Genomic DNA, 16,843 nt, shown 5'->3' with positions numbered 1-16,843 from the left:
ACAATGGTTACTATCTTAATTTTACTTATAAATATCAAAACACTAAAACATTTGAAATGTAGTAAAGAAAAATTAAATATGAGTTAAAATACAAGCAAAGTAAATATAGTAAGGGACATGTGATTTCTGAATCATTTAATATACTATTAAAATGTCACAATGGTTACTCCTAATAATTTTACTTAAAAATATCAAAACACTGAAACATCTGAAATGTGGTAAAGAAAAATTAAATATGAGTTAAAACACAGGCACATTAAATATAGTAAGGGACATGTGATTTTCTTAATGTTTTTACTAATTCAAGTTCAATGCACCCTACTATAAAGTGAATGATTACAAATACTTTGCCTATATATAAGGAACATGATGCTACTTACCCACCATCAGAAGGGCATGCAAACAAATTAAAGTGATGTATGAAAATAATTGAACTAAAGAAAATACACTGAGAAATCACTCGCCTATTTTTCTAATAAATATTTAAAAATATGTATTGAAATTAATTTTACAGTATCTGTGTAGAATATCATACATTTAATAAAGAAATTTTTAAAAAACCCCAAACACTAAAATGCATTATCCCAACCAATGAGAAGTTTATGGGACATAAATATTAATATTTTATATAATTATATAAAATATATAATTATATATTTATACCAATTATAAAATAGTTTACATTAATATTTAAATTAATAGGTACAAGCAATTATAAAGTGTTACAAACTAAATATGCAAATTCTGAGGGGTGCAAGGAATACAAAGTTAAAGTAAAAGGACTTCCTTTACAAATGCAAAAATATTTCCTAGGGTATAAATATTTAATTTAATAAATATATCCTAGGCCCTATTATTCTATGCCCAGGGTCCCTTTTTTTTACATTTGCAACGCCTAAAATTTAGAATTACAAGATGTCTAAACCTTTTGTCAACCTGAACAAAACCTTGTGTTGAAAGAAGCGGTTCCTCAACGAATCCTTACAAGAATCAAGAGGAGGATGTTATTCATACAGAGTCTCTGTTTGGGAAAGCTTGTTCAGTTCCCAGAAACAAGACATATTTTTTTATCACCAAGGAGCCTGATCAAACTAAACATCCAAGTTTAAGGAAAAGCCCTCTGTTGTGTTTAAGAAGCCACAGTCACTGCCAGGCAACATTACGGCTGGACAGACGGTAAGCAAAGATTTATATAGCTGCTCAATGATTTAGATAATTATGGTATGATGTTGAGGGAAGTCTTAAAACCTATACCTTGGCAAACTTCTTAATCTGTCTGTATGGAATGTCACCCGAATCAAATGGTACTTTTAATTATTTGTGAAAATTCTAGTTAGGACAATGTGCCTGTTGTCCTAATGCAGAATAAGCCACACACCTAAAATGTGGAGATAGAATATAAAAATTATGACCCTGATATAGAACTGGATTTTACTTAGAATTGTCCCTCTTCACAGGAAAGAAAATCAGCACATTTAAATTTCTGCAGTGCTTTTCTCCGCCATCATTTTTCCCAAAGCAGCACATACCCATGAGAGTACCTTACACACAGCACACAAAGGTGATGGCTGTGATTCCAAGGAGCTCTGCAGAAATTACAGAGATCTCTGGTAAGGACTACATGGGTCTTTGTATTCTACACTTAAATGAGATTTTAGGACATTATCTGTCCATGACTCAAGTTTTATTAATGGTTCAACAGTTATCTTAGAGCTATAGGATTTTAATCAGATTATACTGATGTGTGATTACATACTGACCAGTAAAGATTAATATATAAACAAAAAATGTATTGTACCTTAAAAAATTTTACTCTTTCTCACCTGAATTGAACAACTGTTCTCTCCTCAAAATACCCACATTTCCCTGGTGAAACATTTTTGAAAGACGCATCCACATTTTCAGGCCACTAGGGTTAGTAACAACCAAATTATTATTTGCTTAATGAAACTGTACCCTAATGGCTTGACAATGTTAAGACCTCCAAAAAGACCATGTTTATTTTGTTAAAAGTATTTTACAGTCTCAAAATTTTTGGCTTAAATTGTACTTCGGGTGTTTTTCTGAAGGGCAGATACAAACCACCAATGTAAGAACTACTATTACTGATATCTTGAGGATGAGTGAGGGCACGCAAAGTGTAAGTGATGTTCATCACCTTAGACATTTGCAGGAACATTTTCTCACTAAAAAGTCATTACACCAAAATTTAATTCTTTTGAGAGACAGGGGAGAGCTGAAGCTCTCTCTGAAAGTACAGTTGTCCCTCATTATCTGCGGGGAACTGGTTCCAGAACACCAAAATCTACAGATACCAAAACCCATGAATGCTCAAGTCCATGATATAAAATGGCATAGTATTTGCATATAACCTACGCACATGCTCCAGTCTACTTTAAATCATCTCTAGATTATTTATAATACCTAATGCAACGCCCACATATCACTTCATTCATGTGGATTCAATGTAGTGCTTGAAGGATGCAAATTTAAATTTTGCTCTCTTTGAAACTCTGTGGAATTTCCTCATTGGTTGAATCCATGGGTGCGGAACCCATGTATATGCAGGTTGTAGTTACGTGCAACCTGAATAATCCAGTTTATAAACCTAAGTATCTTATTTATTTTCCAAAAGGGCTTTAAATGTTCTTACTTTGTGAGAAAAACTATGACAAAGATAAAAATATGTATTTATTACATGCACTGAGTAAAATTAAAGTCAGTATCTGGTTAACGTTTGTTAAAGCAAAACAAAGAATCAGTATAATAGCATTATCTGAAAATATATTTAAATTAAGATAGGAAATTTATATCTAGAGTTGTCACTTTTTTCCTCTAGAGACTTGGAACAAAATGTCTTTCCTCAAATGTGCTTCATTGTACCATACTTAGTGAAAAAACAAGCCTGAATAAGCTGATGGCCTGCATGGGAACATGGATCAACTCATTCTCATTAAGAATTTAAGAAGCTATCAGCCTTCTATACAGTTTTGCCTATATGAGAGAAAGCAAGGACTGCCTTCTTTCAAACCTACAATTTATGAGTTTATTCAAACCCGCCAAAAAGCTTTAAGTAAACGCCTCTCACATTTGAAAATTCCCATGGCAACTCATTTAGGTTGGCAGACAGGCAGTCCCAAATTCAATCCTTTTATCCTGCAGCTAAACCATTACAATGGTAATTCTGCTCTGACACTCTGAAGAGACTGCTAATTACCACACTCTGGGTCCCCAGACAGATTTCCCATTCAGATTAAAATGGCTCTGCAAGGTAGAAATCAGTAACAACACCTTTCTTTACATGAGAGATGTTCTTTCCCATTACAGCTCTATCAAGGAGCCAGTACATTACCTCTAGATGTCTTTTAATATATGTTTTAATACCTCTCCTTCTCTCCCAATAAAATGAAAAGGAGGCCAACAATACCACAAATTTCAATGATCAATATTTGATCAAGGACTAAATAAATGCAGTACCATCAACTCATTAACAATTTGGTTAAAGAACTAAATCAAAGATAAAATTACCACATCTCTATGGTCATGATGTCTGTTACCTTCTCATTCATTAACTCTTAACATTTTCAGGTTATAATTAATACTCAGTTAATTATGAGTCAAATGCATATGGCAGACAGAAAAGAACCTTTGGGGAACACAAAATGCAAACTTTTAAAAAGTGCATTTTGTAACAGATGCCTATTATCCTAAATTTCTATAACATGTAGTTTTTTGAAAATGAATTAAAATTACTTTTGTCTTGATGAATATTTTCAAATGTCATAATAATCCTGATGACAACTTTAAATTTCAAAACCCGCAGGTGGAAATTTGTCGTCATGTATTAGATCATTTACTTTTATAGTACTGACCTCCATGTATATAAAGAGATCAGCTATATGTTAAAAACTGATCTGTATTCAAGTTCTCAAATACCTATAAAGTAAACATACAGAGAAAACAAACACACAATTTTACTCACCATAAAGAAAAAGACCTGTTATTTCAACACTTTATGAAATGTCTAGGTCTGCAGGCATATTGTGTGCCAAAGTCTGTTTTAACTTATGAGACAACATCAATGAACTTCAGTTGCCTGAAATCACTTAATTTCTGTATTACAGTCTAGCCCTTTCAAGCTTAGTACTCTATCTCCCCAATGGAAACCTTTTACCTCCCCACTTCCTATTAAAACTGTGGGAAAATTATAGTGAAAACAAGATACAGGATCCCTCATCTCTACTTTCTCAATCTTAATATCAGCATAATCCAGCATAATATTCCTCCAATTTCACCATTCTTGTGTGTTTTAGGTCTCTTCTGAGAAGATCACAAAAGATCATAGAATATGTATCCATATAAAGTCTTGACTAAGAAATATCATGTATTACTTTCCAACTAGATGAATGAGGATTAACGGAAGGAGGAAGGATGGTATCTGATACCTGAGAAGCATTCCCATAATGTGTGCTCCTGTGTGGAGAGACAGTTTTATATATATTATTTTTTAGTAATGTTATATAATTTCATTTTTTGGGGGGGCTACTATTCCTTGTAAATAAAAACCTATATTGACAAAATCATGACTAGCAAACAGGGTACATTTTGTAGGGAAGGAACAGAAGTACTCTCTCCTGGTATGGTGCCTTTTGGGATCACAAATTGAACTTGCAAATGACATGCAGTTGCAAGTAACCAGCCCATACATAGTTAAACACATAAAATGCAAAAAGAGGAAGGAGGAACATGTATGCGCCTTTCATGTCCACATAATTAAAATAATTACTACCTTTACAAAGTCTCTCTAAGGCAAGTAGGCCATACTGCTTGGTACTATCTTTATAGAAAAGATGCTGCATGAAATAACTGGTATTTGGGGAGAAAAAAATAAAGACCTCAAAATTAAAAGAAGGAAAAAGTTACTATCATATGAAATGAAATAGAGTAAAACTTTTTAATGATGCCAAACCATGTTCATACAGGTTGTATAAGCTATAATAGACGGATTACATACATAGATATGCATGCATGTACATGTGTACACCAAATTCTTTTGCCCTTTCAGTGCCATCAAGAACACACTGGTGTGTATATCTTTACAATGAATGAATGGAGATTTTTACACACCTCTTTCAGTAACAGACAAAACTAGAGAAAAGGAAAAAAAAAAAAAGGGTAGACATAGGAGAAGATCTGAGTGCTTTCAACTATCTTCATCTATAAACAATACAGAATATACACGCAACTACTGCAGAATTCACATTCTTTTAAGTGTATGTGAAACATTCATCAAAACAGACCATATGCTGGGCTAGCAAAAAGTTATTAGATTAAAAAAGACTACCATCTTATCAAATACATACTGAGCATAACAAATTAGAAATCTACAGTATGATAAACAGAAAAGTCTCAAATATTTGGAAACATTTGGAAATAAAACACGGCTCAAAGAAGAAATTACAAAGAAAATTGGAAAAAACTTTTGCACTGAATGATAATAAAAACGCAGCATAATATTATTTGTTGGATACAGCTAAAACATTACTCAGAGAGGAATGTATGTCCTTAAAAGAAAAGTCTCAGAAGTACAAAAGACAGGTCTCAAATCACTGATCTACCTTTAAAATGTCCCCAAGTAAAACTAAACCTTAGTAGAATAAAGATGTAAAAGCAGATATCAATAAAACAGAAAAAAAATTGAGAAAAATCAACAAAACCAAAAGCTGATACTTAGAAAACGGTTGATAAAATTGATAAAACTCTAGAACTAGATTGGATCAGGAAGAAAAAAAAAGTAGATATTTGAAGTCAACCAATTTAGACTAGATAAAAACCTACATATAACTTGAGAAACAACTCCTGCCTAGTTATTTCATGTTTTGTCACCAGGAAACAAAAAGGAATAAAGTAAACTGATCATCAAAATCAAAGAAACATCTGAAACTAAACTGGTGTCATTTTCAGAGTAAACATGTTCTCCAGGTAAAATATTATTTGATTCTACTAATAAATGGTGTGTGATTATCTCAAAACCCTTATTACTTTTGCAGTATAATTACAATACTGAACTGTTCTCTGAAAAGAAACAAGTATAATTGCCCTTATAATGCTCAAGCTTCTCTGAGTTTGCACGCTTGTTGGTAAAAAACAAAGAAGTCTACCAGATTGTTTTGAAACCCAAATACGAATTGAAAAGATTTGAACTGATTTACTAAACATTTAGTTACATGTAAAGTTATGCAAACTGATGAAATATTACAATCTTCAAAATTATTTTAAAAATTAGAACTGCATCACAAAGAGAAGGAAGTACAATCTTTAATCAGATTTATTAGTCTTTTCTGCAGATGGAAAAACACAAAATACTTATTACATTTCCTTATGAAAGTTTATATTAAGCAAAAAGTCTGCCCCTCCCTACTCCCCACCCTGCTAGGACCCTCAAGCCTGGACTAGATGTTTTTTGCTATACAACACCTAACAAAATGGGCACAAAATGATTAAAATACACAAAACTCTTTGTCTTTCTAAAAAAGAACTTACTCTATCTTTCCAAAAAAAAAGAACTTATTCATTCTTTATATGATAATGTAAATGGAATATTTCCCATTTAAAAAAAAAACAGTTCAAGATGTGAACATTAAAGTTCTTACATTACAAAAGTATCTCATGTTACGTAAGTATCACAAAGCTCCTTAATATAAAAACTGACCTAAATAACAAATAGTTATAAGAACCAAGAGATTTTACTCACATTTTTGAAATTAAAGGGCTTTTAAAAAAAAGCCTATTAGAAAAAGCAAAGATCAAAGTTTGATAATATCCAGGGTTTGAGTGTGTGTTGAGAAATAGGCATTTTCCTGCAATACTGGCAGGACAGTAAATTGGTACAAATTTTCTGGAAGGCAACTTAGAAATTTTAACATGAATAAAATAATAAAATTTAAAATGCACTTACCCTTTAACCTAGTAATTCTACTTCAAGAGACTTACCCTTCAAGTATATATGCACAAGTTAATTAACTCTGCCAAATTCATGCAGCATCTCTTCCACTGAAGAGAAGGGAAATGTTCACTACTGGACATTCTGCCGCTGCCTATTTAGGAAGGCACCTTTAGGGGTAATGGAAAGGTCTAAGGAACTACCATGAGGCTGGATGACTGAGGTGGAGTGGAAGACACGATCACTGCAGGTGAAGCAATATAAAAGAACCGAGAGGCCAAAGTACAGGAAGGATTATTTATAAACATAATAAAATCTTGAAGAGGGAAAAAATCCCGGTTCTTTTTCCTCTTGTGCCATTCTTTCTTGAACCCATGCCAGTGACACTTTTAACCCCACTGTTCCAAAAAAAACAAATTGACTGGCAAGGTCACCAATGACCACTACTTGCCAAATCCAATGGCTGATGATTTCCTCTTCCTACCTAAAAGGTCTAAGCATGACTTCCAGGACTGGCTCACAGCTCTCCTCCAAATCCAGGGGCTCCCCGCTTTGCTCTCCCTTGCTGGATCCTCCCTCTCTTCCTGTTACATGGTGAAGCACCCCAGGTTTAGTCCTCAATTTTTCTTCTATACTTATATCCAATTTCTTGATGATACATCCAGTCTCATGGCTCAAAAAGCTTTTGATCTAATGACAATTCTTAATTCTACATAATTCTAGGTTCCACTTTCTCACCTAATTCCTGTTATAACCAAATGCCCATTCAACATTTGCTATCAACTTTTATACTTTCAAATCCAATTTTTTGACTTTCCTCCCAAACCTGCTCTTGTAAAAGTGTAAATAAATGACAACTCCAATTGCTTGAAGTTATCACATATCATATCACACCAAGTCTGTCAAAATTCCTAGCAGTTTTACCTTCAAAAAAATCCATGATCTTACTACTTCTCAGCACCTTCAACACTACTCCAAATCACTTTAATCTCTAACTTGAACTGCAAAGACTTCCTTATTGGAATCTCTGCTTTCCCCACTGCCCTCAAAGTCTATTCTCAGGCCAGCAGCTGGAATGATCCTTTGAAATACAAATTACACTTTGTCCCTCCTTTCCTCAAATTCCTCCAATAAATAGCTTCTCATCTCGGACTAAAACCCAATCTCCTTCCCATGCCTACAGGCCTTGGATCTGCCAGTGCCTCCCATCCCCACCGACCTCACCTCCTACTGCTCTTCAGCCGGCTCATTAAGCTCCTCACTGGACCCCTGGATACTCTCTGAACATGCCTCAGGGCCACCGCACTTTTCGCTAAGGTTTTTTCTTAGATGTCACCTTCTCTTACCAGCCCATATAAAATAGCAGTTCCCTAATCCCAGTTCTCTATTCCCTTATTCTGCTTTATTTTTCTTCGCAGCACTTTGTTAAAAGAGAATATTGCCTATATTTGTTTTCCTCATTGTCAGTAATCCAACCCCAATCAGAAGGTAAACTTCAGGATGGCAGGCACTTTGCTGGTCAGCTTTTATTTATTATTGGTGTATCCTCCACAGCTGTCACAGTGTCTAACCTACAGCAGGCATTCAATTAACATTTGTTGAATGAACTACAAGGCCCAGAGGTGAGAAGACTGAAGCTTTAAGAAATTCAAATAAATACAGAACAACTCAATCTGTGGCAGGATGAGGAAGATGTGTACATATGACTGTGTGCTTTAGGTATAGCAAAAAGTAAAAAAATGAAACCTGAAAGGTAAGCTATGGCAAATCATGAAGAAATTTGTAGGCCATGCTAAGGAGTTTTGTATTCTTTTCTCAGAGTAAGAAGGCACCACTAAAAAATCTTTAAGCAGGGAAAGGTAACAATAGACTGCAAAGTAAAGATGGGTTTGAGAGGCCCCAGAAGAAGGAATACCAGTTGTGGGGTTCTGATACAAGCATGGTTTGAAGTAGGTAAAGGCAATGGGGATGAAGGAAGGTAAGCAAATCTGAGAGAGACAGGAAGTAACCTGACTGAACTTGGTGTTTTTCAGGACCATGGTAACAAGTTAAAAAGTCTAAACTACCCAACAGAATACTGAACGAACAAGAAAAGCGTAACTGAGAATTCCAAACCAAAAGACTGGCAATTTCTGTTAATCTACAGGGTAACTGGGCATCTGCTATTCAAACTGTCAACAATACAAAATTATGAACCTCACTATTAAAGGTACATTTCAAGATAAAATATCTGCCTTTGAAAATATTTAGGCAATGATAAACTAATGAGCCTTATGTTGCATTTTCATAGAAGTCAAAGCAACTTCTCTGAAAACAGTAACAGTGAGTTGGCAAGGAACTATTTCTGTACATTTTTTCCAACTTGAATTAATGCATTCATTTTATCATCAGCATTTGTATAGAAACAACAAACTTTTACAGAGCATGTATGTGCTAGGTATTATGCTAAGTATTCTCCATGTATCATCTCATTTAATCTTCACAAGAAGTATAGGGGTTTATAATGCTCCAAACTTTCTTTTCCCCCCTAAGGGACAGGGTCTTATTCTGTCACCCAGGCTGGCGTACAGTGGTGCTATCATATAGCTCAACTTCTTGGCCTCAGCGATCCTTCCACATTAGCCTCCCAAGTAGCTGGGACTATAGGCATGTGCCACCAGGCCCAGCTACTTTTTAAATTTTTTGTATAAAGGGGTCTTGCTATGTTGCCCAGGCTGGTCTCGAACTCCTGACCTCAAATGATCCTCCCACCACAGCATCCCAAAGTGTTGGGATTATAGGCATGAGTCACCATGCTTGGCCATGTTCCAATCTCATAGATGAGAAAATGAAGACAGTTAAAAGTCACAAAGCTGGGATTCAAAAACCAGGAAGTGAGTTCTCAAAAATATGATGTATTCTGTCTCCCACATTTATTTAAGTAAAAACCCAAATCATTTGATGCTTCAGGAAAATTCAGTTATTTTATGCATTTCTATAGTGAAGATGAAGGAACTGATTTTACCTTATGACAAGATTCAATCATTTATTTTTCAATTTACTATGTTATTGCTATGTGCTGGGCTCTATGCTAAACACTAGAAATAAAAATGGTAAGCAAGACAAGAGATTACAGGTGACTGGGTAAATAGAAAATTTAAAAGACGCTAACAATATCCAGTTGATCCTCAAACAACAAGGGAGGGCTCGGTTGTCAGGGACACAGACTGCATCAAAGATCCTTGTGTAACTTTCAACTCTCCCAAAATGTGACGAATAGCCCACTGTCGTCTGGAAGCCTGACAGTTGATCAACATATATTTTGTATGTTTTATATGTTATATACCGTATTCTTACAATAAAGTAAGCTACAGAAAAGAAAATGTTATTAAAGCAGTAAAAGTCGATGTTAAATAACTTTTTCTGATCATGACACTAATTGCCCAGTATACTTTCGAAAATCTCCTTTTCTATACAGTTTTTCAATACCACACAATTAAGGAAAATGAGAAAGATTCCATGGTTTAATAGTACACAAATATAGATTTTAGTTTATATTTAACCTGATCATTAAAAAAAATAAAATCTACCAACAGAATTTACATAAAACTCTTTTATTCCAAGGAATTAATTTCATCAAGTTAATGGGAAATGTTTATGATTTGTGAGTTTACTTGTTGAATAAACTATCAGGGTAATAAAGAATAGGCTATCTGGGAAATAAAAAGCAGCAGGAACCATAACTCATTTATGTAAATGCCAATGCTTTTTGTTGGACACAATACTAACAGTATTCCTAGTTTTTTCTTTTCTTTTTTGAGACAGGGTCTCACTCTGTCACCCAGGCTGGAGTATAGTGGCGCAATCTCAGCTCACTGCAACCTCTGCCTCCCAGGCTCAGGCGATTCTCATGCCTCAGCCTCCCAAGTAGCTGGGATTACAGGTGCCTGCCATCACGCCCGACTTATTTTTTGTATTTTTAGTAGAGATGGGGTTTCACCATGTTGGCCAGGCTGGGCTCAAACTCCTGACCTCAGGTGATCCAACCGCCTCAGCCTCCCAAAGTGCTGGGATTACAGGCATGAGCCACCGCACCCAGCCCTAGTTTTTCCAATAGCAAATTAGGGTCCACATTTCCATATAGTTTTACTAATATAAGAAAAAAAAATTAATGGCCCAGAAAACCAGTAATTTATTTTTCATTTCCCGTTAAAAAAAAAAAAATTATACTCTGGGAGTAGTACAATTATTATTTCTAAAAATATTAAAGGGTTAAGAAACAATAAGGAGCCAACCCAAGGAAGGGGGGCAGAGGGAAGAGATGGGGGAAGAGATGGGGAAAGAGAAACCGGGAAGGAAGGAGAACTGATAACACAAAAGCATCTGGATAATTTCTTACGCGACGTCACCCTCCAAAACCCCTTTTAATGTCTATCTAAGGACCCCTAAATACGAACTTTATGTTTTTATTATGTTAGAAGTATCAGTCAGGTGTTTTTAATTTTATGCTTAAATAAAATTTCTAACAACCAATAACCTATTCCTTATAAACATTACGATAATTTAAAATAAACTGACAAAAAAGGACGAGGCCCAAATCTAAGGTCTGGAAATTATTACTTACTGCAGGTACCAATAATTTCTTCACTTCTTCAACTGCTCTCTTCAATTTGATTTCTGCTCTGTTCTGAGCATCTTCCACAGTGATTAGTACATGTAAATCTTCATTTAGATGCTCCCAATTGGGCTTGCCTCTATTTTGCTCCTCCTAAAAAATTTACAGAGTACATGATTAAAATTATTCTCTTTAAAGAGAGAGCACATCTTTCATAATACTAACCTGTTGTCAATTATTTCAGCTATGTTTGCATTATTTTGCTATGATGGCACAAGTCTTTGAATTATTTTTCTGGGTCCTCAAAGTTTGATTGAATGTGAGACTACTGGGTCAAATGATAATTAATCCAACAAGTATTTACTGAGCACTTACTATCTACCAGGCACAGAACCAGATGCTAAAGATCAGCCCCAAGCGTGCTCCTATGCACTAGAAGCATACATCATCATCATGTATGTAGTATCATACAACATACATCTGATACTGTCCTTACATTACCATGAAAAACACTTTGAGAAACATGTCATTATTTCTGCATTTTACTTATAAGTAAACAGAAGGTCATCAAGGTTAAGGGGGTCACCTCTCAATGTCACACAGCTAACAGGCTGTCAATTTAGGAACTGAATCAAAGTTTTCATTCTCTAATTCAGTGATCTTTCCACTTCATTACAACTGCTTTTAATGACATTGGTTGTATTCAGCATTAGAAAAGGTATTTTGCATATAGATGTTATTGTGTAAGATGACTACCACTTGTTTTAAGTATTTCATGCGGTAATTATGAAAATAGTTTTATCTACATTCCCATCAGACCATACCTTAAAATTAACTGTAAGGCTACTCTTTAATTATATCAAGTCATAAATACTAGTTTCATAGAGAATATCTATATTTCATTTCCTTAATGTCTTCTAGTAAGAAATATCCCCATGTTGAAAACCTGGTTAAGCTACAGGGAGGTTAAGTAGAGTTGGCATAATTTCAGAATCGCTGTTTTAAGTTTTAGAGAAAGTGTTTTTAAATAAAATAAGAATATATAAGTAGTATATAAATGGTAAATATAAATGCACCTGGCACACAGCAAGGTACCACAGACAAACAATAAATATCTGCTGTTTTTGGACCTTTATTTTAGAAGTTACTATTTACCTAATTGTTAGATTCCAGTAAAAGAAAATAAAGCAGGCATAATAAAACTGCTTTCTGCAACAATTCACATGATTGAGCTTAGCCAATAAGGCTAAAAATAAATTTTAACAGTAAATGCTTCTGCTTTATTTTTAATCAACACATCTTTAGGATGAAAATGCATCCACATATTGTAAGGGGATACAGGGAAAAAAAAAATCAGACACAATCCTATGCTGGGCCATCTATGTATTTCCAAAGAGTGAACTCTGAGTCAGCACAGCATTTTACAGGGGTACCATCTGTCCGACACTGTGTGAACCACCAGCTCAGAATATCTGACTGTTTCAACATAAGGTCACATTACATTCTTTTTGATGATGTCATATCTTTACAAAGCTAGGTTGTTAGCGGTTGCTGTAATAAAAATCAAGAACATACAAAAATCAATGTGGAACAAGAAAAGAGGGTGGCAGTACAAAAATCTGATTCCAAAGTTTGAGAATTTGAACAGCACCCAAGAAAATACAAATGCTATTAGTAAAAATGTGGTTATTTACAAATAAAATGTATAGTCTGTTTCAAAGTTGTTTGTAGAGTAAATATTTAATAAACAGAACTCTGAAATATTTCTTTTTGACTAGGGTACACCATGCAAACTAAGTGGGAAACCAAGGAGTCAATGAATCAAGAAACTGGAAACCTCAGGGTTATCTGTATGGCAAGAAATAAAATATGTATTAATATCTCTAACTGTGGCAAGAAAAATTAGTTTTGTTATCCAGATTTCAATTGTTATGTTCAAGAATGCTAACAGTATTTTCTCACCAAAATTTGTATTTTTTATTTATCTTTTTTTTTTTGGAGAGAGACCTACAAAAGCTACTAGTCTGGTATTATTTGGTGGGCCTAAAAGTGCACCTATTTGACTAAACGCATATATATGAGGGACTTCTGTTTCCAGGCAAGATATAGTAACAGGAACCAGATTCACCTTCCTGCTGAAACAACCAAAAAACTGGCAAAACGTATCAACAAGTTTCAAGCCACTGGACATCAGACAACTAAGGACAAATGACACAGAGTTGGGAACAACTGAGGTGAGCCTATAACTGCCCCCACTCACTGGCTTGAGAGTCTCCAGACAACTCCATGAGGAGACTAAGCAAGAGTCCAGGGAAACCGAGGCAGCCAAAGCTCAGAGAGTCCTGGGAGAGCTGCCACTCAAATATTCAGCTGAACCCTGATCGTTGCATACTTGAGAGAAAATTCCAGAGGCCAGGGAAGGAACCACCCAAAAGGATTCCAGGTCAAAGTGCCTGGCTCTAGAAAAGAACAAGACTGAAAGACTTGAAGGATTCCCCACGGGTAAGGGACACAGAAAGGTCTTGCCTCAGTGGTAGGAAAAAACTAAACCTAATCTAAGCATTGTTCCAGTACAACTAAATACATTTTAAAAGTAAGACCAAATGCCTTAAATTATTTCCAACTAACTTAACTGTGTCCCAGGACAAAGCTCAAAGATATTTATAGGAATATAAAAATATCCACCCAACAAGGTAAAAGTCTGGCATACAATTAGAAATTAACGGGCATGCAAAGCAGCAAGAAAAATGCAATACATGAGACCACCTCCCCCCCAATCAATTCACTCAAACCAATCTAGAAGTGATACAGATGTTATTATAAATAGACAAAGACATTAAAAGCTCTATGTGTGTGTGTCAAACACTAATGCATATAGATACTAATACAATGAAAACTGAGGAACATTTATAATCAAATATTTTTGAGAAAAGCTTAAGAATAAAAACTAAAATTTGACTTGCCGCAGAAACCTCTATACATGGAGAAAAGCCAGAGAATTTAAAAGGAATAATTATTTTCATGATAGAAACAAAGTTGCAGTATTATTTGCCATTTTGCTTTATTGCAAGAATACATTTTTAAGGTGTAAAACACTTGGCCAATGCGTACTCTTACTAATTCAACAACTTAAATGATAGTTAAAAATATAAAAATAGGAGAAAGCTACATCTACCCTGTTTGCTTCAAAATCAACATTTTTGCTTACACTTTTAAAAACAATTGAAGGAGCAAAAATTTTCAAAGATGGAGAAATTAATGGAATGGTGTACTTACACTCCCACCAAAAATTCTTCTACAACACTGCAGAGTTTAAAATGTACAAACTCAGCCGGGCACAGTGGCTCATGCCTGTAATCCCAGCACTTTGGGGGGGCCGAGGCAGGAAGACTGCTTGAGCCCAGGAGTTCAAGGCCAGCCTGGGGAACAGTCAGACCCTGTGTCTATTATAAATAAATAAATAAAATGTCCAAACTCGTAAGAAGTAAGAAAATGGGAAAGGAAACCATTTAAAAATTAAGAATCTAGAAAGCAGATGGTTAACTTAAAATTTACCTGACTCTAGTTAAGAAAGAAACTTATTTCCTTGCAATCCACCCCAAAAATACTGAGGAAATGGGCAGCAGTGAAAACAGGGGTGAGGGTGGGGCTGAGATTGCAGGACTAGATGAACTCTCATTAAAAAGCAGTTCAATTCCCATATCCCCTGTCCACAAATGGCTAGCTATCAAGCACTCCCTAATTCCCAGCAGTAGACCAGAAACTGATTCTGAAAGGAAGTAAAACACTTGCTCAAACTGCATTAGGAGAACAGTTGACAGGGTAACTTCCACTCTGACAGCTGGGCTGGCCGGCCATCTCCCCTGCTCCAAATGCAGAGCAAGGGAACCCAGGCCCACATCTTGGGGACAGGAGACTTGAACAACTGACCCTTCAGAGAGTTAATAAAAGACGCTACAATGCTGAAACAAGAATGCTCTATTTAAAAATTTTGAATACAAATAGAAACTCCTGCAACTAAAAACATGAGAGCAAAGATGAAAAATTTGATAGAAGGTTGGAAGACAAACTGAGGAACTCTCCAAGTAGCAAAAGACAGAGATAAAAAAAAATGGTGCAGAACTGTATAATATTAGAGGACTAGTCCAAGAGGTTCAGAAACTGAAATGACGATGTCCAACTACCAATATAAAGAAAAAGAAAGCAGAGGGAGAAAAATCATCAATGTTATATATTTTTCGCAAAACTGAGGGATCTGAGGTTCCAGATGAAAAGGACCCACTGAGTTTTCACCACAAGGAATAAATGAAGCGGACACTTCAAAATCAAACAATGTAGCAATTGAAAGTAAACACTAAAAGCACCTCTTTTAGTGTTTTGGAGGGGGTGCAGTGTGAAGAGAGAGACCGACCAACCCGTTTTCCACATCAGGCCTCAGAAAATCTTTCATCCATGTGCATATCAAATGTCACACAAAAAAAGGCTTTGAGGTCATGCTACGCAGAAGCCATGAAGCCATATTCATTCTACTGTAGTCCATTCCAGCTCAAGAAGAGTTAAATTCCTTCAGTGAGTTTGCAGCTTAGTAATTATTTAATACAAATACTATTTCTCCCTGTGATCTCATTCTGTTTCTTAAGCAGATTATAAAGGCAATCTGGGATTGGCAAATTTTATAGAGAAATCAATAAAACACACCCCAAAAGGTCCTCTTTTAGTCATTAAGGATAGATGCAATTATAGGATGGTTACTTCTGAACTTAAAATATCCATAGTAAGAATCCACTCACAAAACCCATTTTCTCACTTAAATACATCAGGACAAAGAAAAGGTTGAAATAAGCAGACAGGAGGGATGATGATATGGACGCACACCAAAAATGCTGTATTTATTAGAAACTGTGTTCTACGAGGCATTCGTTTCTTTTTACAATTATGTTTCAAACAATCTTTCAGGGGTTAATAGCTGAGATACTGATGTGGAAAAAAATAGCTCATGACTACTATAATGTCTGTTTTACAGTTACCATTTGCAATATCATTTCATAATATATGTGCTACTAAATCTTCAGCAACATAGAAGAACACAGTTTTGCATCAATATAATCCCAAATTTACATTTTCCAGCACAGTACTGCCCCCTGATTTCTAGACCTCCAAATTCAACTGCCAACTAGAAATGTATACTTCAATCTCTAAAGCAGTCTGAACTCCACATGTCCAAACTGGGGTTCATACCTCCCTGCTGCAAATCTGTCCACAATTAATGTCTCAGCTATTACTCATCCTGAATGAATTTTCTGAAT

The 16,843-nt window shown here is 35.2% G+C and overlaps 1 protein-coding gene across 9 annotated transcripts in view, besides 2 other annotated features; it reads right to left on the bottom strand.

Moving 5' to 3' along the window:
• QKI (QKI, KH domain containing RNA binding) overlaps nt 1–16,843 on the bottom strand; it is a 163,875-nt gene that overhangs the window by 31,921 nt on the left and 115,111 nt on the right. For 7 of the 9 annotated variants that reach the window (NM_206855.3, NM_206854.3, NM_206853.3 and 4 more), the window contains exon 4: nt 11,547–11,690. The exons of the other annotated variants lie outside the window; for them this stretch is intronic. In NM_206855.3, coding sequence (NP_996737.1) covers nt 11,547–11,690 — 144 coding nt within the window. The remainder of the gene's footprint in view (nt 1–11,546; nt 11,691–16,843) is intronic. 9 annotated transcript variants of the gene reach the window in all.
• Nucleotides 2,894–3,579: an enhancer, noted in NCBI's record as "NANOG hESC enhancer chr6:163964125-163964810 (GRCh37/hg19 assembly coordinates)". NCBI's record gives its function as "activates a minimal SCP1, AML or CMV promoter by ChIP-STARR-seq in naive H9 embryonic stem cells {active_cell/tissue: H9 hESC(naive)}" and the evidence as "EXISTENCE:reporter gene assay evidence [ECO:0000049][PMID:30033119]".
• Nucleotides 10,934–11,115: a silencer, noted in NCBI's record as "fragment chr6:163956589-163956770 (GRCh37/hg19 assembly coordinates)". NCBI's record gives its function as "represses an EF-1alpha promoter that drives an FKBP-Casp9 reporter gene in an ReSE screen in K562 erythroleukemia cells {active_cell/tissue: K562}" and the evidence as "EXISTENCE:reporter gene assay evidence [ECO:0000049][PMID:32094911]".

The sequence above is a fragment of the Homo sapiens genome, chromosome 6, assembly GCF_000001405.40.
Source record: "Homo sapiens chromosome 6, GRCh38.p14 Primary Assembly".
NCBI lineage: Eukaryota > Metazoa > Chordata > Mammalia > Primates > Hominidae > Homo > Homo sapiens.
This window is presented reverse-complemented; position numbering and strand designations above follow the sequence as displayed.